Raw genomic sequence first — 25228 nt, 5'->3', positions numbered from 1 at the left:
AGGAATACTATATAGCCATAATAAAGGATGAGATCATCTCCTTTGAGGCAAAATGGATGGAGCTGGAGGTCATCATACTAAGCAAACTAACATAGAAACAGAAAACCAAACACTGCATGTTCTCATTTATAAGTGGCAGTTAAACTTTGAGTACACAAAGAAGGGAACAACAGACACTGGAGCCTACTTGAGGGTGGAGGGTGGGAGGAGGGAGAGGATTGAAAAACTACATATCAGGTACTATGCTTATTACCTGGGTGACAATCTGTACACCATACCCCATGGCATGCAATTTACCTATATAATAAATGTGTACATGTACCCCTGAACCTAAAATAAAAGTTAAAAAACAAAAAATCAAAAATGGTTTATAATGGAATGGGACTTCCATCTTAGATGTTCTTATTCTCTCTTGGATTACTAACTCTGGGGAAGCCAGGTGCCATGTGAGACAGCCCTGTGAGGAGGTCATGTGAGTGACCATAGAAGTGGATCCTCCTCTAGTCAAATCTTCAAATAAGAATACTGCCCTAGATAATAACTTGACTGGACCTTCATGAGCCAGAGACATTTAACTACGCTGTGCTCATATCCTTGACCCTCAGAAAGTATGAGATAAGTTTACAGCTTACTTTCTTATTTTTTTTTTTGAGACAGAGTCTTGCTCTGTCACCCAGGCTGGAGTGTAGTGACACAGTCTCAGCTCACTACAACCTCCACCTCCCAGGTTCAAGCTATTCTTTGCCTCGGCCTCCCAAGTAGCTGGGATTACAGGTGCCCACCACCACGCCTGGCTAATTTTTGTATTTTTAGTAGAGACGGGGTTTCACCATCTTGGCCAGGCTGGTCTTGAACTCCTGACCTCGTGATCCACCTGCCTTGGACTCCCAAACTTCTGGGATTACAGGCGTGAGCCACCACACCCAGCCTCAAGTTTTATAATTATCTCATATGGATAAGCACTGGTCCACAGCCCACATTTTGGGTAGCACTGGTGTAAATAGCTATATACTGGTGTAAATAGCTATATATTATATACTGGTGTAAATAGCTATATACTGGTAGCTATATACTATATAGCTATATACTATATACTGGTGTAAATAGCTATATACTATATACTAAATATATATAGTATATTGTTTATACATAGTATATAAACAATATACTATATATATTGTTTTCATTTGAATGATGGTAAGAATTTAAAGCACAGTAATGAACTGATCAACAGAATAATTGATGCCAAAAAACTTTTTCCCGTAGAACCTGTTCGAGGAAAAAAAACATTTTCATTTTAGTTATATTTCAACTAAAATATAAATTTCAAGAGGGGTTTGGGTGCAGTGGCTCACGCCTGTAATCCCAGCACTTTGGGAGGCCGAGGCAGGAGGATCACGAGGTCAGGAGATCGAGACCATCCTGGCTAACACGGTGAAACTCCGTCTCTACTAAAAAAATACAAAAAATTAGCCGGGCATGGTGGCAGGCACCTGTAGTCCCAGCTACTCGCAAGGCTAAGGCAGGAGAACGGCATGAACCTGGGAGGCAGCTTGCAGCAAGCGGACATCGCGCCACGGCACTCCAGCATGGGCAACAGAGCGAGACTCCAACTCAAAAAAAAAAAAAAAGAAAAGAAAAGAAAAAAATTTCAAGAGGGCAAAAACTGCTACAGTGCTAGGCCATTAGACCTGTTAATTATTAAATGTGTGTTTAATGAATGAACAGACTAATATACAGATAAAAATAAAATTAATAACAATATATCAGTTAAGTTTTTACAAACACAATAATTGTAAAAGTTAACATTTGGCTCTTATAGTATTTTACATGCATGATATAATATTCATCAGAGATGAGGAAACTGAGGTATGTATTTAGTAGGTACCTTGGATAAGGTAATACAATTATCCAAGGCTGAGGCTGACAGAGTCGCTTGAACCTGGGAGGTGGAGGTTACAGTGAGCCTAGATCATGCCAATGCACTCCAGCCTGGATGACAAAGTGAGATTCCAACTCAAAAAAAAAAAAAAAAAAAAAAAAAAGAAAAAGGGAAAAAAAAATACAAAGAGGCTGAGGCAGGAGAATTGCTTGAACCTGGGAGGTGGAGGTTGCAGTGAGCCTAGATCGTGCCAATGCACTCCAGCCTGGGTGACAAAGCAAGATTCCATCTCAAAAAAAAAAAAAAAAAAAAAAGAAATACAAATAGATTCAGCTTTTTGAATACCCTGAAATGTGAGAAACATAAAGAAAAATACATTTTGGATCAACTGGAGATCTTCCCAGTAATCCAAAGGGTAATTCCTTCAATAATCATAGCATCTAAAACAGCTTTTCACCAGACATTACCTAACCTAAAAACTGAAAAATCAACTATCAAGTAAAAAGGGCCCTATATTTCTACTTAAAGGAAAAGGGAAAGTAAAGGGAAAGCATTATTCAAAAAAGGAAAGTTTTTGTTGTTGTTAGCCATTTCATGTGAATTTGAGTCAACTAAGATTTACTGCAAAATTTGTGCTGATAGTTCTATTGTATCTCCTGGAATGTAAGACTGGATATGAAGGGTACAATTTCATCTATATGTACATGTTTATATTCAATTATATGTATGTACTTATACAAGTGAAATGTATTAAGTATTTTTTATACTATTTCAATCTAAAAGATCTCTATATACTCCAGTATACATTTTGATATGTTTATATATATATTACAAGATTATAATCTGTGTACTTGGCCTTTCATATCCATGGGTTCCACATCTGTGTATTCAACACACTCTATATAAAAAATTTTTTTAAAAAATCTGTACTGAACATGTACAGACAATTTTCCTTCTCATTATTCTCTAAACAATAGTATAACAACTATTTATACAGCATTTACAACTATTTGTATAGCATATACTATGTAACAGTATAACAATTACTTATACAGCATCCAAACCATGCATCCATGGTTTTTATGTGTGTGTTCCTCTCCAAATCTCATGTTGAAATGTGATCCCCAATGTTGGAGTGGGGCCTAGTGGGAGGTGTTTGGGTCATGGGGGTAGGTCATGACCTATGACCCTCATGAATGGCTTAGTGCCCTCCTTGTGGTAATATGTGAGTTCTTGCTCTGAGTTCACAAGAGATCTGGTTGTTAAAAAGAGTGTGGCACCTCCCCCCTCTCTCTTTTGCTCCTGCTCTCTCCATGTAATGTGCTTGCCTCCCCTTTGCCTTCTACCATGATTGGAAGCTTCCTGAGGCCCTCACCAGGAGCAGATGCTGGCACCATGCTTCCTATATAGCCTGCAGAACCATGAGTCAAAATAAATCTCTTTTCTTTATAAATTACCCAGTCTCAGATATTCCTTTAAAGCAATGCAAATGGACTAACACAATTAGGTATTCTAAGGAATCTACAGATGATTTAAAGTCTATGGAATACTATATAAAGGTTATATGTAAATGCTATGCCATTTTATATCAGGGACTTGAGCAATCGTGGATTTTGGTGTCTGTGGGAGGTCTGGGAGCCAATCCCCCATGGATACCAAGGGATAATTGTATTCACTTAATGTCATGAAAATACAAAACTTTACATTTTATAACATCTATTTCATTAAATTCTCTCTATTTTTGTTTAAGAGACAGGATCTTGCTTTGTCACCCAGGTTGGAGTGCGGCAGCACAATCATAGCTCACTGTAACCTCGAACTTCTAGGCTTAAGTGATCCTTCTGACTCAGCCTCCAGAGCAGGTAGGACTACACGTATGTGCCACCTTGCCCAAATTTTTTTTTTTTTTTGGTAGAGTGGAGTTCTTGCTATGTTGCCCAAACTGGTCTCAAACTCCTGGCCTCATGTGGTCCTCCTGCCTAGGCCTTTCAAAGCGCTGGAATTATAGACATGAGCCACCATGCTCCACCACACTCTAATTTTAATATAGCATCAATGTTTATTCCAATGATAAAAGTTCATGCTTGCTACAAAAAATTTTATATCAGAATGCATAAAAGGGAAACAAAGATAATAAATATATCATGCAACAAATCCAGAGAGAATGATCATTAATATAATATTTTGGGATACTTCATTACTTTCTTCTATGTCTATTTCTTCATATATTTTATACAAAAATGACATCACACTATTCATACTGCTTTGTAACCTTTTCTTCCCCTCTTAATCATGGAATTATTTTTATTTAAATAATTATGGAACTATATAATCATTTTTTCTTCCGTATTTTTTTACTTACATGGAGTATAAATGTATCATCTATATATTTTAGACATAGTAGATTTCATCCTACATATTGTTTTCTAGTCTGTTTTCTTTATTTAAAACTGTATGAAGGGAAATTTTCCATGCCATCATGATGTGTCTGGGCATCTGAATTTAGTTCGGCCACTTGGGGATGGCTGAACTTTTAACTTCTTGCTTCAAAATCTTTGTCTGAGAGTACCAATATTCTAATATCATTTTTAATGGCTGTGCAGTGTTACACTGTATGGTTGAACGATATTTCATATAACAGCTCCCTAGTGACAGCAGTTAGGTTGTTTCTAAATTTTCTCTATTATAAAAAATGCTGTGATGAATATCTATGCCTATAAATTTTTAGGCACTGGTCTTAATAAGACAGACATTTTAAAAGCAACACATGGAATTCTTTAACAAGTGGTCTTCTTACCTTCTTACCTATCAGCCTGCCTGGTTATCTATTTCTTTCCAAAAAGATTTTGAGATACCTTATAAAAAGAATTAAAAATTTAAGTGAAAGCAAAACTACCAGGTTCGGAGAAGAAAAGCAGGTATGTCAACAGTAAAGTCCAAACAGTTGATCTAAGAATAAAACTATATATATACACACACACATACACATGTATATATACATATATACACACACGTACTTGTGTGTGTGTGTGTGTGTGTGTGTGTGTGTGTGTGTGTATATATAAATTTTTTTTTTTTTTGAGACAGGGTCTCACTCTGTCACCCAGGCTGGAGTACAGTCATTCAATCCTTCCACTGCAGCCTCTCAAGTAGCTGGGACCACAGGCGTGCACCACCAAAACCAGCTAATTTTGTTTTATTTATTTATTTTTGCAGAGACAGGGTCTATGTTGCCCAGGCTGCTCTAGAACTCCTGGGCTGAAGCAATCCTCCTGCCTTGGCCTCCCACAGTGCTGAGATTAGGGGTGTGAACCACTGCACCTTGCCAAAACTACATCTTAAGATTTCCAACAACTAGAATAAAAAAAAAGTTTGATTATATAATTCTTTTTAGAGGAGAATAGAACAAAGCATATTCTCCTTGGAGACTTTTTTATGTAATGACTTATATATAAAAAGCCAAATTTAATACACAATATCTTTCACTACCATTCATATCAAATGCAGAAACAAAGTCAAAAGGGGTATCTTATGGTTTATGCTTATGAACATTAAAACTCAAATCAGACTGAGAGATAAACTCCACATACCTAGCTGACTCTCTTTATCTACTTTAGATACCTCTACCTTTTACTTCAAAAGAAAATAAATGGTTTTAGGTTTTAAAATATTCACATTAGGCCAGGTGCAGTGGCTCATGCCCATATCCCCAACACTTTGGTAGGCTGAGGCAGGTGGATTACTTGAGGCCAGGAGTTCGAGACCAGCCTGGCCAACATGGCAAAATACGTCTCTACTAAAAATACAAAAATTAGCCGGTTGTGGTGGTGCACGTCTGTAATCCCAGCTACTCAGGAGGCTAAGGCACGAGAATCAATTGAACCTGGTAGGTGGAGGTTGCAGTGAGCCAAGATTGAGCCACTGCACTCCAGCCTGGGCGACGGAGCGAGACTCTGTCTCCAAAAAAAAAAGAAAAAAAAAAAAACAAAAAAAAAACCCATTAAATCAGAAGTTTATCTCTGTTTAAATCATCCTCTTAAAATACCATGAAAAATATTGAAAAAGAAATAAGGAGACAAACAAAACAAACAAAAGGGTACCAAATGGGACAAAGAATGATTGGATAAAGTTTAATTTACATAGTAAAAATCTTATTAATTAGGTGCTGAGGTTTTTTATTTTCTAAGAGAGAAAAATTTCCCCTCTCATTTCCTTTTCTGAAAATAAGAGCTTCCTAAATCTTGTTTTTGCTGAAGTCAAAGCAGTAGTAAAAGTGATTTCTCTTTTACAATACTGTCAGTGGTTTCTTCCCTTTTCTTTTTTCTTTTTTTTAAGAGACGGAGTCTCACTCTTCCCTTTTCAAGATACAGCCAACCTCTCTACAGTTGAACAAAAATGAAACAGATAAAAATATAAAATACGAAATTCTATAAAGGTTGGTTATATTTACTATGAAAGCTAAAAACATGCATATATAAATGGTAACTAATGTTTTCCAACAATTTACCATATGCCAAGCAGATACTAAGTGCTTAAGAAGCATCCTCTCATTGCTACTCATTAGTTTAGATATTTCATTTAAGTGTCTTTAACACATAAGGAAATTGAGGTTAGAGAATTTATATAATTCACCCATGATCACAAGAGGTACTCAGGCTGAAACTCAAATCTAGATTCTGTCTCCGGAGCCCGCATTCTTAATCAGTATGCCAAATACACAACTACACCTAAGATGCCAGTTTTATTTTATCTTCATTCTCAAAAGATATCTTCATCAGATATAGAATTGAATTGACAGCTTTTTTCTTTCAGTACTTTAAAGATGTTGCTCCATTGTTTTCTAGACTCCATTATTTCTGCTAAGGCCATGATCACTCAAATTGTTGTTCCTCTATGTATGTTTTCCTATTTTGAGAAAGTTGTGGCTATTACTATTGTTTCTTCCTCTTCCTATAATCTCTCTCATCTCCCTTTGGAGGTTCAATTACCTGTTACTCCTGTTATTACTCCTTTGCTGTTGTTCCACAGGTACCTGACTTTCCTTTTCTGTTGTTGTTGTTGTTTTTAATTTTTTCCCTTACTCTTCTTCATATTGGTTATTTTGTATTGCTCTATCTTCGAACTGACAGACCAATTCCTCTGTCATTTCCATTTTGCTATTAAGTCCATCTAGTAACATCATTTTGATTTCAGATATTGTATTTCTTAGTTCTACAGTTTCCATTTGATTTTTTATATTTTCCTTTTTTGCTGAGATTTCCTTTCTTTATAATGATACAAACATATTTCTTTACTTCGTTAAGCACAGTTTTAATAGTTGTGTTAAAGTCTTTGTCAGATAGTTCAACATCTGGATCATCTTGGGGTTACCATCTGTTGACTTGTCTTTTCTTTGAAAATAGTTCACATTTCCCTGGCTCATATATCAAGTAATTTTAGATTATATCCTCGATACTGTAAATGCTATGTTGTAAGAACTCTAGATTCTGTTTTATCTTTCTGAAGAGTGTTAATATTTTTGTTTTAGCAGGCAAATAAATTCTAACTGAAAACTCTCTATGTCTGGTAAGGAGAGAGACTCAGATCTCAGTTCAGATTGCTCTCAATTTGCCGTGGGCATGCATGTAGACTATGCAAGTCAGAGAGTCAGGTGAAGCTATTATACAGCATTTAGAATTTCCATTATCTGGCTCTCTCTTTTCTTGGGTGCCTTCCCTACTCTTTGGTAGCACTGGCCCCCTTCCCCTGGTTCTTTTGGACAGAATAATGGGGGGTTTTGTACTGGAACATTAGTTATGCCTTACTGTGCCTGCCCTCAAGGCAAAGCTGCAAAGAATGAGAATCTCACTCTGTAAGGGTTGCTTTGTCAAAGTTTGATACCCTCCAAAATCTATCTGTTTTTTGTTCCAGACCCCACAAGTAATTGATTTTTTTGTTTTTTTTTTCTAGGTTTTCAGTCATGTGCAAGAGCTTACTTCTCCATACTGGAAGTAGAAGTTTCTCAAAAATTTAAAAGCAAATAAACTTATACGTAATTTACTTCATATTCCTAAAGTACTAAAATAACTTTTGCTCTCCAAAGTACAGCTATTCCACATGTTTAAACAGATGTTTGCTGACAGCACTGACTTCTCCAAGAGCCTAAGAGAGGAGAGCAGCCAATTAAACTCCACTGTCTTCTAAAATTTTAATCCTAGATTGGTTTCAGATGGGTTAAGACAGTCATTCAACCCACAAGTATTTAAGGAAGGCACCTGGGACTGACTCAGTTCCTAGATTTAAACCTATTCTGTGAACTGTCCACCCCTACCTTCAAAGTACAGAGATGAAACAGGTTCTCATATTCTCTATGAGCACATCCTCCTACTCCTGCTTCCTCTTATCTGCCCTTTTTACAATCTGAAAGTTTTTTTTTGTTGTTTTTTTTTTTTGAGACGGAGTCTCACTCGTCACCCAGGCTGGAGTGCAGTGGCGCAATCTCAGCTCACTGCAACCTCTGCCTCCCGGTTTCAAGTGATTCTCCTGCCTCAGCCTCCTGAGTAGCTGGGATTACAGGTGCCCGCCAGCACATCTGGCTAATTTTTGCATTTTTAGTAGAGACGAGGTTTCACCATGTTGGCCAGGCTGGTCTTGAACTCCTGACCTCAGGTGATCTGCCTGCCTCGGCCCCGCAAAGTGCTGGGATTACAGGTGTAAGCCATGGTGCCCAGCCTACAATGTGAAAGTTTTATCTGTCTCTGACATGCAACAAAGATGCCTTCCTCACCTCCCCAGAATCCTCATCACGCATATATTTAAATTGTTTTCTAGTTTAAAAACACTCTCAAGTGAAAAACAAACCAACAAAAAAACCCAAGGCTTTCCAAGGCTTCAAAAATTCCCAGGCCTTCTTTCAAGAATATAACCTACAAAACCTACTGCTTGAATCATGTACCTGTTTAACTTAATCACAAAACAGTTTGGGTTCTCATTCCACAGTAAAACCAGCAAAAATTCCTAGAAAGAAGCAAAGGTCTTTGTTTGCAGAAAGCCTTTGTATCTGGAGTTTACAGGTATTTCTTAACTTTACACATCTTTTCACATATCTGCCTGAGGGCTAAGGTAAATATTACTGCATATTAGTCATTGATCCCCTTGACTTTACTTTGGTCCTTGATAATTCTCTTAGATTGCAATTTACACAGTATGGTTCTACTATGAACTGATTTCTACAGTGCGATCTACATGACAGACATACCTTTCTTATGTGGAAACCTGAAAAATGATTTTAATACTTTAGGTATTTCTAACTAAAATGACATTCAGATATCCCAATGGATAGGTGTTTACTAAATACATCATATATAATATTTTCTATTTTTAAATGCAAAAAATTTTACTAGATTGGACAAAGATAAATCAACTAGCAGTATATTATGATGTGCTTTGACCTTTAAGATAAAGAGTATCTTATTTAGGCAAATTATTCTTATTTTGTAATGAATTACAACAGCTAACCCTGAGACAGGGGAAGGAAATATAAATCAGCTCAGCTTTGGTTGTAAAATAAAATTGAAGAACGTAGTTACATTAGTCATTATATACCACCAGTGTCTTTTATCTTTGAGTTTCTTCTTTGAGCAAATTTATTTGTAAACATTAATATTTTATATCTTATTTTCTTAGAAGTCTTCCAAAGAAAAAAGGATTCTTTTTTTTTAACAGAATAAAACTGATTCTATCCTACAATTACTATATGAATGTATTCATCCTCTTTATAAATTTAAGATGCATAATAGAATCTTAGGGATCCTGTTTTTCCTATGCTCTGTATTTTAGTATTGCATCATCCTAGGGTTTATTTAATCATTACTCATGAATTATTTCTTAGGAGATATGCTAAAAATAAAATAATTTAAAAATAAAATGGAATCACCTAAAAAGATGATCCAGTAGGAAAAGAAATCATTTTTATATCATACTTCAGCTTTCAAAATGTTTTCCGCAGTATAACATCTTTGAAAGCAGAAAAGCATAGAAACCTCATTTTTGCAGTCTTCTTTTTAGTGGCTTTTATTAACACCATTAAGAGTTCTGAAACCGGTTTTGGGTTCCAAAATAGTAAGTAGAAGTAAGCTGGCTTCATTCCCTCACTAGAGAAAACCAAAAACAAATATATGGTGCTGAGATTATTGCTAGTAATAGCCCAGAACTCAAATATGTAGATCAAATGGTTCCAAGGGACACAAAAAAGTGAAAAAGACTCCAAGCAGACAGAAAAAGAATCAGAATTCAATATCTATGACACCCCTCCCCACAACCTGCCTGACACCAAGTATGTGGAAAATTTCCCTGACTCACAGTGTCTAAACTGGAAAAAGTGAGACTGAAGTAGACAACCAGTTTCCCCCACCATCTTGGGGTCCTGACAGAAGACCTGTCCCTGACCCAATCCATGGGAAGCATCATGAGTACACAAAGGGAGAAACAGCCCTGAGGACACTCAGAGACAGATGGGGAAGGCAGGACTACCATTCCCAGTCTTGGAAACTCTGCTCTTTAACTTAGTCAAAGGAGACACCAAATCAGAGTACTTGTTCGGCAGGACCACTAGGTAGGAGGTACGTTCCACAGGTCCCCTGGGCACAAACCCCTAGCCAGCCTTTCTACACTGCTGAGATATCACCTTTGGGACCTCCCCAATTCCTAACAGGCAACACTCTGATCCTTTACTAGGGCAGAGGCAAAGCTGGAATTAAGCCTCCATCTAGTGCCAAAAAAGAGGCAGAGTGACCTAGCAGAAAAAAAAAAAGAAATTCAACAGGTAAGTTACAAAGAATCTCTAAGCAAACATGTCCAATAAAAACCAAACTAGTCAGAGAAGACTAAAATAAATAAATAATGTTTCAATGCAAAGACATAGATGTACATCCAAAAGAAACAACAGCAAACCATTATCTCCTCAAATGGACAAAGCAAGGAACCAGTGACTAACCCTAACGAGAGAGTGATATGTGAGCTCTTGGACCATGAATACAAAATAGTGATTTTATGGAAACTCAGTGACATCCCAAATAACACAAAAAATCAATCTAGAAATGTATCAGAGAAAATTAACAGAGTTTGAAACAATAAAAAATCAAACAAATCTTGGTGGAACTGAGAAATACGTTTGCTGAACTAAAAAATTCATTAGAGGCTCTCAACAACATAGTGGATCAAGCAGAAAAAAACAATCAGTAAGCTAGAAGGCAGGCTATTTTAAAACACATAGATGAGGAAAAAAAATAATAAAAAGGAATGAAGATTGCCTAGAAGATATAGAAAATCACCTCAAAAGACTAAATCTAAGAATTACTGGTATTCAAGGAGCTGAGCAAGAGCAGGAGTAGAAAGTTTATTCAAAAAAATAAAGCTTCCCAAAATCTAAGAAAAATATCAATATTCAGGCCAGAGAACACGAACAGATTTGACCTAAATAAAACTACCCCAAGGCATATAATAATCAAACTCTCAAATGTCAAGGACAAAGAGAGGCTCTTAACAGTAGCAAGTTAAAAAAAAGCAAATAACATATAAAGGAGCTTCAATTTGTTTGGCAACAGACTCCACAATGGGAACCAAATAAGCCAGGAGAGAGTGGGATGACATTTTCAAAGTGCTGAAAGAAACAACTGCCATTGAAGAATATTATATTCAGCAAACCCATCCTTCAACTACAAAAAAGGAAAGATAAAGTCTTTCCCAGACAAACAAGCACTGAGAAAATTCACCATCACCAGACTCATTTTACAAGAAACACTAAAGGGAGTTCTTCAATCTCAGAGAAAAAAAATGTGCAAAAAGAAAACATTTAAAGGTATAAAACTCATTGCTAGTCTATTACAGGCACTGTGGTTCATGCCTGTAATACTAGCTACTTGGAAAGCTAAGTCAGGAGGACTGCCTGAGGCCAGGAGTTTAAGACTATCCTGGGCAACATCATAAGACCTTATCTCTAAAAAAAATTTTTTTTCTAATTACCTGAGCATGGTGGCAAATGCCTGTAGTCCCAGATACTTGGGAGGCTAAGGTGGGAGAATCATTTGAGCCCAGGAGTTCGAGACTACAGTGAGCTATGATTATGCCACTGCACTCCAACCTCGGTGACAAGGCAAGACCCTGTCTCTGAAAACAAAAATAAAATAAATAAAATCCTCTGGTAAAGGTAAGTACATAGATAAACCCAGGATGCTCTAATACTATAATTGTTTTTGGTCCTCCCATAATTCTAGTATGAAGTCTAAAAGACAAACTTGTTAAAAACAATCGTAGCTACAGCAACCTGTTAAGAGACAGGCAATATAAAAATATGTAAGTTGAGACAATAAAAAGTCAAAATTTTAGGGGTGATAGAGTTAAAGTGTAGAAGTTTTTAAATTTCTTTGTTAGTTTCTATTTTTTTCTTTGCTATCTAAGATAAGTTGTCATTGTTTTAAAATAACTTGTCATAGCTCTAAAACTTTTTAATAAACCTCACGGTAACCACAGTGCAAAAACCTATAATAGATACACTAAAAATAAACAGCAATTAATTAAAACATACTATCAGAGAAAATCACTTAACCACAAAAGAACACAGAAAGGAAAAGAGAGGAGTACAAAACAACCACAAAACATGCAATAAAATGGCAATAATAAGTTCTTACTTACCAATAATAACACTGAATGTAAATGAACTCAAGTCTCCAATTAGAAGACACAGAGTAGATGACTGGATAAAGAAACAAGACCAAACCATACAATTCCCACAAGAAATCCACTTCACCTACACAGACACACATAACACTCTAAGTGAAGGGCTGGAAAAAGGTATTCCATGCAAGGGGAAACCAGAAAAGAGCAGGAGTAGCTAACATATCAGATAAAATACGACTATAAGTCAAAGACTCCAAAAAGTGAGCAAGAAGGTCACTATATTATGATAAACAGGTCAATTCAGCAAAAGGATATAACAATTAATATCTAAGCATCCAATACCAGAATACCCAAGTCTATAAAGCAAATATTGATAGACATAAAGGGAGAGATAGAGTGCAATATAATAATAGTAGGAGACTTCAACACCCTACTCTCAGGAAAGGACAAATCATACAGACAGAAAATCAACAAAGAAACAGGGGAGTTAAACTAGACCAAATAGGCCTAATTGACATTATAGAATATTTCACCCAACTGCTGCAGAACAGACAATCTTTTCATCAGCATATGAAACATTCTCCAGAACAGACCACATCTTAGGCCACAAAACAAGTCTCAAAAAGTCAATTAAGTAGAAATCATATCACATATCTTTTGTAACCACAATGGAATAAAACTTGAAATCATTAACAAGAGGAACCTGGGAAACAATACAAAAAATTAATTAATTGTTTGATTTAATTTGGAGTAAGTTCAAATCAAATGACTTGTTCCTGGCAGGGCATGGTGGCTCATGCCTATCATCCCAGCACTTTGAGAGGTCAAGGTGGAAGGACTGTTTGAAGCCAAGAGTTTGAGGCCAGCCTGGGCAGCACAACAATACCTGGGCTGGCTGGGCTTGGTGGTGTTATGCCTATTGTCCTAGCTACTCAGGAGGCTGAGGCAGGAGCATCACCTGAACCAAGGAGATTGAGGATGCAGTGGGTCATGATCACACCACTGCACTCCAACCTAGGTGACAAAGTGAGACGCTGTCTCTATTTAAGAAGGGAATTTAAAAATATTCTGAATCAAATGACAATGGAAACACAAAATACCAAAATCTATGGGATAAAGCAAAAGTAGCAGTACCAAGAGAGAAGTTTACAATAATAATTGTCTACATCAAAAAAGGAGAAAGATTTCAAATAAATAACCTAACAATGCATCTCAAAAACTAGAAAAGCAGGAACAATCCAAACCCAACATTAGTAGAAGAAAATAAATAATGAAGATAAGAACAGCAGTAAATAAAATTGAGACTAAAAAAATACAGGTCAACAAAAGTTGTTTTTTCAAAAAGATAGATGAAATTGACAAAACTTTAGACAAATAAAAGAAAGAAAATTCAAATAAATAAAAACAGAAATGAAAAAGTAGACATACCAACTGAGACCACAGAAATACAAAGAATCATTATATACTATTATGAGCAACTATACGCCAACAAATTGGAATAGCTAGAAGAAATTAATAAATTCCTGGACACTTACAACCTACCAAGATTGAAACATGAATAAACTGAAAACCTGAACAGACCAGTAAGTAATAAGATGGAAGCTGCAATAAAAAGTCTTTCATCAAAGAAAAGCCTGGAACCTGATGGCTTCACTGCTGAATTCTACCCAACATTTCAAGAATAACTAATTCTCACTTCTACTCAAACTCTTCCAAAACAAAACAAAACAAAAAATTAAAGAGGGAATACTTCCAAACTCATTCTACAAGGCCAGCATTACCTTGATATCAAAACCAAATAAGGACACAACAAAAAAGAAAACTACAGGCCAATATTACTGATGAATACAGATGCAAAAATTCTCAACAAAATACTAGCAAATCACATTAATAAGATCCTTCATCATGATCAAGTGGGATTCATCCAAGGGACGCAAGGATAGTTCAACATATTCAAATCAATAAACATGATACATCACATTAACAGAATCAAGAACCAAAAACATATGACCATTTCAATAGATGCTGAAAAAGTATTTGACAAATTCAACATCTCTTTATGATAAAAACCCTCAGCAAACTGGATACAGCAGGAACATGTTCCCAAATAATAAAGGCCACATGTGATAAAACCACAGCTAACATCACACTGAATGGTGAAATATTGAAAGCCTTTCCTCTAAGATCTGGAACAAGACAAGGATGCCCACCTTCACCACTGTTATCTAATATAATACTGAAAGCCCTGGTCACAGCAATCAGACAAGAGAAAGAAATAAAGGGCATCTAAATTGCAAAGGAAGGAGTCAAGTTATCTTTGTAGGCAACATAATCTTATATTTACAAAACCCCTAAAGACTCCACCAAAAGCTGTTAAGAACTGATAAACAAATTCAGTAAAGTGTCAGGATACAAAATTAACATACAAAAGTCAGTACAGACTTTTTTTTATTTAGATTGCTTTCTTGATTTATTTTTCATGTTGTTTGCTGTTAGAGCATAACATTTACAATAGTTACAAATAATATAAAATACGAAGCAATTATCTTAAGTGAAAGATCTGTAAAAGAAAACTATAAAACACTGATGAAGAAAATTGAAGACACAAATAAAAGGAAAGATATTCTAAGCTTGTGGAATTAGAAGAATATTGTTAAAACGACAATACTACCCAAAACAATTTTCAGATTCAATGCAATCTCTATCAAAATACCAGTGACATTCTTCACAGAAATAGAAAAAGAATCCTAAAACGTATATAGAACCACAAAAAGACTCTGAATAGCCAAAGCAGTCCTAGGGGAAAAGAACAAAGCTTGGGGCATCACACTATCTGACTTCAAAATATACTACAAAGCTATAGTAACCAAATGACCATAATACTGGCAAGAAAATAGACACATGGACAAATGGAACAGAATAGAGAACCCAGATATAAATCCACACATTTACAACCAAGTAATTTTTGACAAAGCAATCAAGAACACATCATGGTAAAAGGATAGTCTCTTCAATAAATGGTGCTGGGAAAACTGGATAACCACATGCAGAAGAATAAGACTATCTCTCAGATATTTCTTCCTTATCTCTTTGATTTTTGATACAAAAATCAAATCAAAATGGATTAGAAACTTAAATGTAAGATCTGAAATTATGAAACTACTAGAAAAATGTATTTGGGAAATACTCCAGGACATTGGCCTGGCCAAAAGTTGTTTTATTTTGTTTTTTTGTTTTTGGAGACAGGGTCTCACTCTGTTACCTGGCTTTGAATGCAGTGGTGTAATCACAGCTTTCTATACCCTTGACCTCCTGAGCTCAAGCAATCCTCCCACCTCAGGCTCCTGAGTAGCTGGGATCACAGGTGTGTGCTACCACATCCAGCTAATTTTATTTATTCATTTAACTTTATTTTTAAACTTTTAATGTTTTAAACTTTTTTCTTTAATTTTATTTTAATTTTTAAACTTTTAAAATTCTTTTTGCAAAAGTAGGGTCTCCCTATGTTGCCCAGACTGGTCTGAAACTCCTGGGGTCAAGCAATCCTCTGCCTCAGCCTCCCAAAGTGCTGGGATTATAGGCATGAGGCACAACTCTTGGCCTGGCCAAAAACTTTTCTGTGTAAGACCACAAAAGCACTGACAACCAAAGCAAACGTAGACAAATTAGATTATATCAAGCTAAAAAGCTTCTTCACAGCTGAGTGAACAATCAACAAAGTGAAGGGACAACCCACAGAACAGGAGAAAATGTCTGCAAACTATCCATCTGACAAGGGATTAGTAACCAGAATATATAAGGAGCTCAAACAACTCAATAAAAGAAAAATAATCTTATTTAAAAATGGGCAAAAGAATAGACATTTCTCAAAATAAGGCATACTAATGGCCAACAGGTAAATTAAAAAAATGTTCAACATCACTAATCATCATAGAAATGCAAATCAAAACCACAATGAGCTATCATCTTACCCCAGTCAAAATGGCTTAAAAAAAATTTTTTTTATTATACTAGAGACGAGGTCTCACTACGTTGCCCACGCTAGTTTTAAACTCCTGAGCAGCTCAAGTGATCCTCTCACCTCAGTCACCATGGGCGGCCTAAAATGGCTTTTATTAAAAAGATAGAGAATAATGGATGGTGGCAAGGATGTGGAGAAAGGGGAACCCTGCTACACTGTTGGTGGGAATGTAAATTAGTACAGTCACTATGGAATACAGTATGGAGGTTCCTCAGAAAACTTAAAATACAACTACTGTATGATCTAGCAATTCTACTACTACGTATATATCCAAAAGGGAAATCAATACATTGAAGAGATATCTGCACTCACACGTTTATTACAGCACTATTCACAATAGCTAAAATATGGAATCAACCATCAATGGATGAATGGATAAAGAAGATGTGGTCTATATACACAATGGAATTTAGCCATAAAAAAAGAATATTGGGCCTGGCATGTTGGCTCACATCAAATCTCAACACTTTGGGAGGCCAAGGCAGGAGGATTGCTTGAGGCCTCCCTATTTCAAGAATATATGGAATAAAAATTTGGGTTTGCTATGTTTTTATTTTTATTATAATTTCTAATAAAGTTGTTTTTCCACTATCCCTTTATTGCTGCTTCTCAGGACTATTCATAAAATGACCAAAAATACAAAAAATAAAATGATAGTAAATGACAATGACTATTTTTCCTGATAATACCAAAGGTTAAATCAATACGTTTTTCCTTTTAGTAGCAACACAAGACAAGGGGATAGTTGCAAGAGGCTCCAGAGATCATTTAAATTATTTATGCGTAATTGGAACATATATTTGCTAGTGTACACTAGCAAGAAAAGAGCTGTAAACTGGCTATATGTTACTGCACCTTAAAAATGCATGTGGATGAATTTTCTTTTAAGAAAACTGTTAAACTAAAGAAAAACTATGTAACACACCTAGAATGTAATCTATCTGGCTCTGACAGATTCTCAAATGTTTAATCATTTAAAAAATTTGGGATAATAGTTTTTTGGAATTTTTTTTTTTTTGAGACAGGGTCTCACTTTGTCACCTACACTGGAGTGCACTGGCATGATCACAGCTCACTACAGCCTCAAACCTCTGGGGTCAAGCTAGCCTGCCACCTCAGCACCCTGAGCAGCTAGGACTACAGATATGTGCCATTATGCCTGAGTGACTTTTCTAAAATCTAAAATCAATTCTATATGTATTAAAAGTTATGTATTGCAAGCGCCTAAGGTCCAAAGTCTGGACTAGACTATTCACTAGCGATGATCTGGGCAATTAACTTCTTTGAATGTTAATTTCCTCATATGTAAAGTAAGAATAATGTCTACCTTGCAGGATTTTTGTGAAGAGCGAATAAATCAAATGAACCTAAAACAATGTTTGACATTTTGTAGGCCTTTGGCAAATGATAATTGCTACTTACAAAAGGCTATGATGTTATTTGGTTCTTTGGTGTCTGACCAATTTTAATCATGTTAGTGATTTTTTTCTTGGGCCTTGTTAATTGCAGTTCCCACAACTTCTCTTCAATCATCAACCAAGTTAAACTTATTTCATTCATCAGTTATTATTTACTGAAAACCTCCTATGTCACACACAATTTTAAATATTTATTCACTCTCTACACATAATTATTGTCAGAATACCTAGACAGAAAAATGCTAGAAAACAATGAATCTACAGAAGAAGTGGTTTATATCTTACTTTTATAGCACCCCAGTCAGATTATCATATAGCAAGATCTTAATAAAGATCTTAAACAGGGATAAAGTATATTTTCATAAACTATCACCATAGCAACATGTTCTATAAAAATATATTTTTTCAACTTATTTGACTAAGAAGAAAAGGATGTGAAATTATAGTAGAAGTGAAACAATAAAAAGGTTAGAAAAAAACAGGAAGCAAAACACGTTTACTAAATAACTATCAAGAGGATTCTACTGATACCTAATATACCACCACACTGCTTTATATAGTATGCCTTTAAAATATTAATAAAAGAATTTCTCACAGTAACAGGAAGAGACTCAAAAGCTAAGCAAAATAAAAACGACAGAAAGAACATGTGTACATGCCAAGAGTGGGCACTAATACTGTTCATTGGTGTACCGTACTGTGTGCTTTTTAGACTAAAAGATTTTCCAATGTTATAGTGAAGCCTATGAAATACCAACTACTCTAACAAGTTTTTATCCCATAAACCAAACAGATAGGAGTAAAAGATATGGGAATACATTTTCAATTTCATTGAATAGTAAGAATATTTCTGCTTGAAACATTCCTAGCCTGGCTCTCATTTCTACAATAGGAAACAGGATAAAAAGGGTGGCCTACACACCCTTTGAAATTCCATTTCTGAAATCACTGTCTTATTCTCGAATGTTAGAACTTTTTATGAGATCTGACATATTCTCAAGCAGCTGTGAAGTGCATTAAGGTATCAATGAGTATCCCCATCTACCTCTTCCCTCCCACTTTTCCAAAAATACAGCTGTCTTTGGAGACTTAAATGGTAAAAATCAACAGATAAAGGAGTCCTAGACAGATATGCAAAGTCACCTTAAGGATCAAAGCTGCAGAATAAGACATGGCAGTATGAGCATAATATAATAATAATTGATATTAGTAAAAGAACTCATCAATATAAATGGAGTGTGGATGGTCAGAAAAAGAAGAAAGTAAAAGAAAGCAAGATAAATATTGGCAATGCCTACTTAAATATCCATTGCCACGATAGGGATAACCTAGCTTCATGCTACCAACCATTCAGAATCGTAATTAATCCCCCATGCAGGAAGAAAAAAATATGATACTGGGATATGGGAGAAGGTCATCAAGCCTAGATTTGAAACCAGGATATAAAGAGCTGGAGTTACAGGCACCTACCACCATGCTCGGCTAATCTTTGTATTTTTAGTAGAGACGGGGTTTTACCTTGTTGCCCAGGCTGGTCTCAAACTCCCGGCCTCAGGTGATCCACCCACCTCGGCCTCCCGAAGTGCTGGGATTACAGGCGTGAGCCACCACACTCGGCCAGCGTTTTCCCTTAGACTCGAAATTTCGCTCCTATCGTCCCATCCTTGTAGTAAGAAAGTACTCTTTCTAAGGTTTAATAACAAATTTTACTCTTGGCAATTACAAGGAAATCGACTATATTAAAATAGCTAACGAGAGGAAATTACTGAAGCTACAAAGTCAAAGTCTCATAATCAAAGTTATCCTTGACAACTGACAAGAGTTGTTAGATCTTCTATTGGTCTTTCTGCTAATTCAACCCTAGTCTTAAAACAAAAATAGCCTCCTATTGCCTAATCCCTTGTACACACAAAACCACTGCACTTCGGTATTTCTAATACGAGAAAGTTTCTATATATCCAACCTTTCCTATCTTTGAGGGGCAGGCATGGTTAACGTGGTTCTCAGTAAGATATTCATTTACAACCAAGAGAAAATCCCAGGCTATCATCTCACATTCTTGTTTTACTTTAAAAACCTTTCTAACGTCATTTATTCTCTGACAACCTCAAAATTACTTTCTACAAAGCAAACTCTAGAAATCTAAAAATGCGAAGTGCGTGCTTGTGAGAAGGTACTAAGGAAATTCTTCCTTTAAACGTCAAATGTGAATTCTAACTTCTAATGAGTAAGACCCTCGAGATTTACAGCGGTGGTCTGGTGGAAAGAAAACCCTTGGCACTAGTAGCTCACAAAACCCCAGCCCATGGTTGAGGCGGAAGCGGCCAGATGCTCCCGGGCTTTCGACAAGCCGCCCTGGAAAGCAGGCCCGTCATCTTCAGCGGAAAGCTCTCTCACGTCTGGGCCCGCAAGCCCGGAGGGTTCGTCATAAACACACAAGGCAAGGATAGAAGCGAGGCCGAGGGGCTGGTCACGCAACTGTCAAACGAAGCCCACCCACCGACTGACAAGGCCCCAAGGGGACAAGCGATCCCCGCGCGGGATACTCACCCGTTACCTCAGGATCGCGACTACAACTCCCAGGAGGCTGCGCGAGCGACGGACCAACGCCCTTCCCAGAATGCAGCACAGCTGCATCCCTACCCCGCCCTCTCCTTTCTCCGCTCCTCCTGCTTTTCTACCCGTCGTCACCCGGGAGAGCCGGAGGTAGGGTTCGGGAGGAGGATCCCGAAGGCTCGGCGTGTCGCGTCAGACGCCGGGAGGGGGACGGGGCGGGGAGTAGTGGGGGAGAATGGGAGGACGAAGGGGAGGGGAAAGGACAGGGGAGGGGAGGGTAAATAGTGGGCCAGGCAGGAAGATGGCGGCGGTAGCGGAGGTGTGAGTGGACGCGGGACTCAGCGGCCGGATTTTCTCTTCCCTTCTTTTCCCTTTTCCTTCCCTATTTGAAATTGGCATCGAGGGGGCTAAGTTCGGGTGGCAGCGCCGGGCGCAACGCAGGGGTCACGGCGACGGCGGCGGCGGCTGACGGCTGGAAGGGTAGGCTTCCTTCACCGCTCGTCCTCCTTCCTCGCTCCGCTCGGTGTCAGGCGCGGCGGCGGCGCGGCGGGCGGACTTCGTCCCTCCTCCTGCTCCCCCCCACACCGGAGCGGGCACTCTTCGCTTCGCCATCCCCCGACCCTTCACCCCGAGGACTGGGCGCCTCCTCCGGCGCAGCTGAGGGAGCGGGGGCCGGTCTCCTGCTCGGTTGTCGAGCCTCCATGTCGGATAATCAGAGCTGGAACTCGTCGGGCTCGGAGGAGGATCCAGAGACGGAGTCTGGGCCGCCTGTGGAGCGCTGCGGGGTCCTCAGTAAGGTGAGCAACCCCTGGTGCCAAGGGACCCCTGGCCAGACTCACCTGCAGCGAGGCAATCCGCTGAGGCGGTGGGGTGGGGCTGGCGGGAGGCGCGGAACGTGCCGGGGTGCGAGGCTGAGTGTTGCTGCAGCGACTAGGGATGAGGCGGGGATATAGGGGCACTGTCCTTGTTGCCCGGGGGCTCGTCGGGGGCAGCCGAGGACCAGGGAAAGGGTGTATAAACCTGAGATCCAGTTTGGGAGGCCAGATGCGCGCCGTGACTTGGGACTTAGGGCGGCAGCTGTCCCGGGTGTAAGGAATCCGGGTTGGGCTTCAGCGGTGTCCGAACGACTGGGCATGGGAGCGGTTCAAGTCGGACCTCTTAAAAGAGGTTGGTCTCTCTGAGGATGCCAAGCCGAGTAGGTTGGGGGGCACTGCGGACGCAACTCTTTCGACAGAAGCTGGAGCGACTCAGCTTGGTGTTGAAATTTGAGGTGTTGAATTCTGCTAGGTTAGATGTAGTGAGACAGATGAATGTGGAGGACTTTCTCCCTCACCCTGTACCTTAGTTCAGAATAGAGATATTGAATCGGCACATGATGGGTACAGGAAATATTCATAGTAACTTGGAACATGTGAGAATGGAGACTGATCTTTAGTCCAGGAAGAGCATTACTTAATAATAAAATATTTTTGCGGTAAGGGGTCGAGGGTAAGGAAAAGATGTTTTATCTTTTATATATTTTTTAAAATCCCTGTATCAAAATTTTAGCAAAGCAGTCATTATAGGACTGCAGGTGGATGATCTCTTGATATTACATAGTTGTGGGGATTTTTTTTTTAAGTTTTTGCTGTAAGAAGATTCACGTAGCCTTTTTGACTTCTCTCTCCCTTCCTGTTAAACTTTTTTAGACATGGCTGGAGCTAGCAGTTAACTTGGAGAGGGGGAGCTGGGCCAGTCCCTCAACAAGCTGGTCATAAGATACTATGTCATGTGCAGCCAGTGGCTATTAAGAAATCACCCTGTTTCCAGTATTCATATTTGGCAAATCACTTGGACATTATTTGTGGAATTGTTTCATATTAGGCTTTTATAATGTCTAGAAAGCTAATGAGAAGGGGGCCAGGAAAGGCATGAGTAGTCAGAACTAAGGATTGCAAGTGTTGACTTTTATTTGTATAGCAGCAAAATTATGTTGTATATTGATGCTGTGATCATTCTTGAAATTTCAGTGCAAGGTTTTCAGTAACGAGAAGCTCCTCAGGATTTCTTTAGATTAAATGTATCCTGTAATTTAGGAATCTCTATTGAACACATTGTGTAGTAGGTATACATTTTCAGTTGGTAATAGGAAGTGGGTTACTTGCTTCTCAGTGATTTTGGTAGTTTCATCACTGCTCATAAGATGGGAAGCTGACTGCCATATTAGTATTGTGATGTGTTAAGTATTTTACGAAACAAATTGTACTTTTGACCTACTGATAATTACTTTTTTGGGGGTTGGGGGAGTGGAGTGACCGGGGGAAAAAGTAACCAGTGCTCTGGAGTAGGTATACTATAGATAAAAAAATGGAAGACCAATCTCGATATTTAAATGCATACAAATGTATTTGATCACCTCTATGGAAGGTGAATAGCTTAAATTTTGACTGTTGCTGCATATGTAGAATGAATAGGAATAAAGCTTTTGGTATTCTTGCTCAAAGCTATGAAGGAAATTTTCCTGAGATTTACCAATTTATGGTTATATACAGTTTTCTGGAAGCTTTTTAATCAAGGGTATTCTAAATTGAGTATATATACTCATACTGAGTATGGTAGATGTTTTTAAATGTAAATTATATAGTTTGAATTCTTTGTATTCACCTGGTAATTTAAACAAAGGTCAGAACTCGGATTTTGTTCTTTTCCTTCCATTGAGTAATGTAAATAAGTCCCGGTACAATTCATTTTGTTTCTCCCCCAAAATGGGGTGGATTTGGAATGGGCTTGGGTAAATTTATATTAGAAATATACCAGTTCAAAGGGTATTTTCCATATGGTAATCTGAAATACATGGAAATACCTATGAAGCATATTTCTTATAAATCACTTAAGTGTATAGATTCCAAAAATACTAGATAGACAATAATTCTATCTAGTTATAGCAAGTATCGTGATGGATCATGGTGGGGAAAAGATGCATGCCTTAGTAGGACTTGAGAGCACCTAAGCCTGGATAAAATAATCTCATTCAATTTCTGAATTTCCTCCATCCTTCATGGTTTACCTTCTGTTTTTCCACACACCAAACTGTTTGAAATTCTGTCCATCCTTAAGAGTCCAAGCCAAATACTGTCCTTTCCATAAAGCCTTTTCTTATTTTGCCATCATTCAAGACCTCCTTCACTTGAATTCCCATAGCATTTTGTTTGTAGCTTGCTTCTGACTCTTATTCTAAATATATATTTTTTTCTCTTGAGTTTGTGTCTGCTGGCCTGTTGGCCACAGTAATATTTGATTCCCCTGCAGTGTCTAGCATATTGCCTTATCTGTATTTGTTAAATGGGGAAGAGTGAGGGAACATTATGAGAGCAGAGAAAAGACAAAAAACTTGTCTTCCAGGTGTCATGATACAGCTAATACTTACTGAGTAAAGGGTCCTGAAGCTGATACAGTTTGTTCAGTCTCTTATAAGAACTAATATTAAGTTATGGATACATAATTGCTGGGGCTTCTCCTCTAACATTGAAAGAGTTCTATTCTAGTGAGAAATGCTGAAGGTTAAGCTTCATTAGCTATGTATAACTCTTCCTCAGATTCAGAAAATACTATGTCCAGGCACTGTTCTAAGTCTATTCTTGTTTAAACTTAACTCTAAGAGAATTTGACAAAGAAAAAAAGAACACAAAGAGAATAAGTAACTTGACCACTGTCACAAAGTTTAGCCTTATGAAGTGTGGTAATTGTAAATGAGGTAGGATTAATCCATGAAGGGTCTTGAATGCCCTAAACAATTTGTATGACAGTCAGTGGGAAGTTGTCCATGTAAGTTTTGGAGCTAGAGACTCAATACGATCAATGTAAGAAAAGTAGGCAAATATGCTTAGTAAGTAAATAAGCTTGTGTAAATTATGAAAAAAACAGAAGATACTAGAGAAAAAATTATTAAGTCTCCTAAGGAATACAGGAACTGGATAATTTGATTGGAATAGTTGAAAATGAGAAGAGGAGGCAAATTTAAGGGTTTACTATGAAGGAAAGATGAGCAGCTTTTGGTAATGGGCTATAAATATTGAGAAGGAACACTTAGGTATTGAGTATCTTCTGTGACTATGCTAGGCATTTTCATTATTTTATTCGGCCGTCAGTCAACAGGCAAAGAAACTGAAGTTTACAAAAGTAACTTGTCAAAACTCTCTTCACATGAGTTATAAAATAGTTGAGCCTATTTTATCCTATATCCACTAATCTGTTTGTATATCTAATACACTAACTCTGAGCAGAAGTAGCAGTCTCCCCAAGGAAGTAGGAAAATAGGAAGGAAGTATACTTTATAGGAAGGTGAATTCAGTTTTATTGGTAACTATCATTTATTTCAAGCCCGTGTCTAAGTGGTGGTACATCTCAAGCAGTTAGAAATAAGGAAATGGTGATTGGGAGCCACTAGAATGAGTTAAATGTTGGCTTGGGTGAGTTCTCAGAGAGTGGTTGTAATGATGGGGCTTAGAAAAATTAAGAACTGGCTAGGGATGGTGGCTCACCTGTAGTCCCAGCACTTTGGGAGACCAAGGAAGACAGATCGCTTGAGCCCAGGAGTTTGAGACGAGCCTTGGCACCATAGCGAAACCTCATTTCTACAAAAAATTAGCCAGATGTGGGGGTGCACACCTGTAGTCTCAATCACTTGGGAGGCTGAGGTGGGAGGATTGAGCCCAG

The 25228-nt window shown here is 37.7% G+C and overlaps 2 protein-coding genes across 32 annotated transcripts in view, besides 2 other annotated features; one reads left to right on the top strand and one right to left on the bottom strand.

The window, feature by feature from the left end:
- The window catches only part of POLK (DNA polymerase kappa), a 99218-nt gene extending 77550 nt beyond the window's left edge, over positions 1 to 21668 (bottom strand). For 19 of the 23 annotated variants that reach the window (NR_170560.3, NR_170559.3, NR_144315.3 and 16 more), the window contains exon 1: positions 20528 to 20551. The gene's annotated coding sequence lies outside the window, so the exon portion shown is untranslated. Of the gene's footprint in view, positions 1 to 20224; positions 20552 to 21372 lie in introns of those variants that run through there. The other 4 variants (XM_054328411.1, XM_054328417.1, XM_054328410.1 and 1 more) reach the window with 3 other exon arrangements.
- Positions 20257 to 20636: an enhancer, noted in NCBI's record as "active region_22681". NCBI's record gives its function as "activates an Ori minimal core promoter by ATAC-STARR-seq in GM12878 lymphoblastoid cells {active_cell/tissue: GM12878}" and the evidence as "EXISTENCE:reporter gene assay evidence [ECO:0000049][PMID:35858748]".
- CERT1 (ceramide transporter 1) overlaps positions 20461 to 25228 on the top strand; it is a 143496-nt gene continuing 138728 nt past the window's right edge. For 8 of the 9 annotated variants that reach the window (XR_007058566.1, NM_001379003.1, NM_031361.3 and 5 more), the window contains exon 1: positions 20813 to 21330. Coding sequence is in view for 8 of the 9 variants with exons in the window: in NM_001379003.1 (NP_001365932.1) it covers positions 21235 to 21330 (96 nt within the window). In the remaining variant the exon portion in view is untranslated. Of the gene's footprint in view, positions 20684 to 20812; positions 21331 to 25228 lie in introns of those variants that run through there. The other variant, NM_001130105.1, reaches the window with a different exon arrangement.
- Positions 21387 to 21456: an enhancer, noted in NCBI's record as "active region_22680". NCBI's record gives its function as "activates an Ori minimal core promoter by ATAC-STARR-seq in GM12878 lymphoblastoid cells {active_cell/tissue: GM12878}" and the evidence as "EXISTENCE:reporter gene assay evidence [ECO:0000049][PMID:35858748]".

This window comes from Homo sapiens, chromosome 5 (genome assembly GCF_000001405.40).
Source record: "Homo sapiens chromosome 5, GRCh38.p14 Primary Assembly".
NCBI lineage: Eukaryota > Metazoa > Chordata > Mammalia > Primates > Hominidae > Homo > Homo sapiens.
Note: the sequence above shows the minus strand (reverse complement) of the source record. Positions and strands in the feature narration are given on the sequence as shown.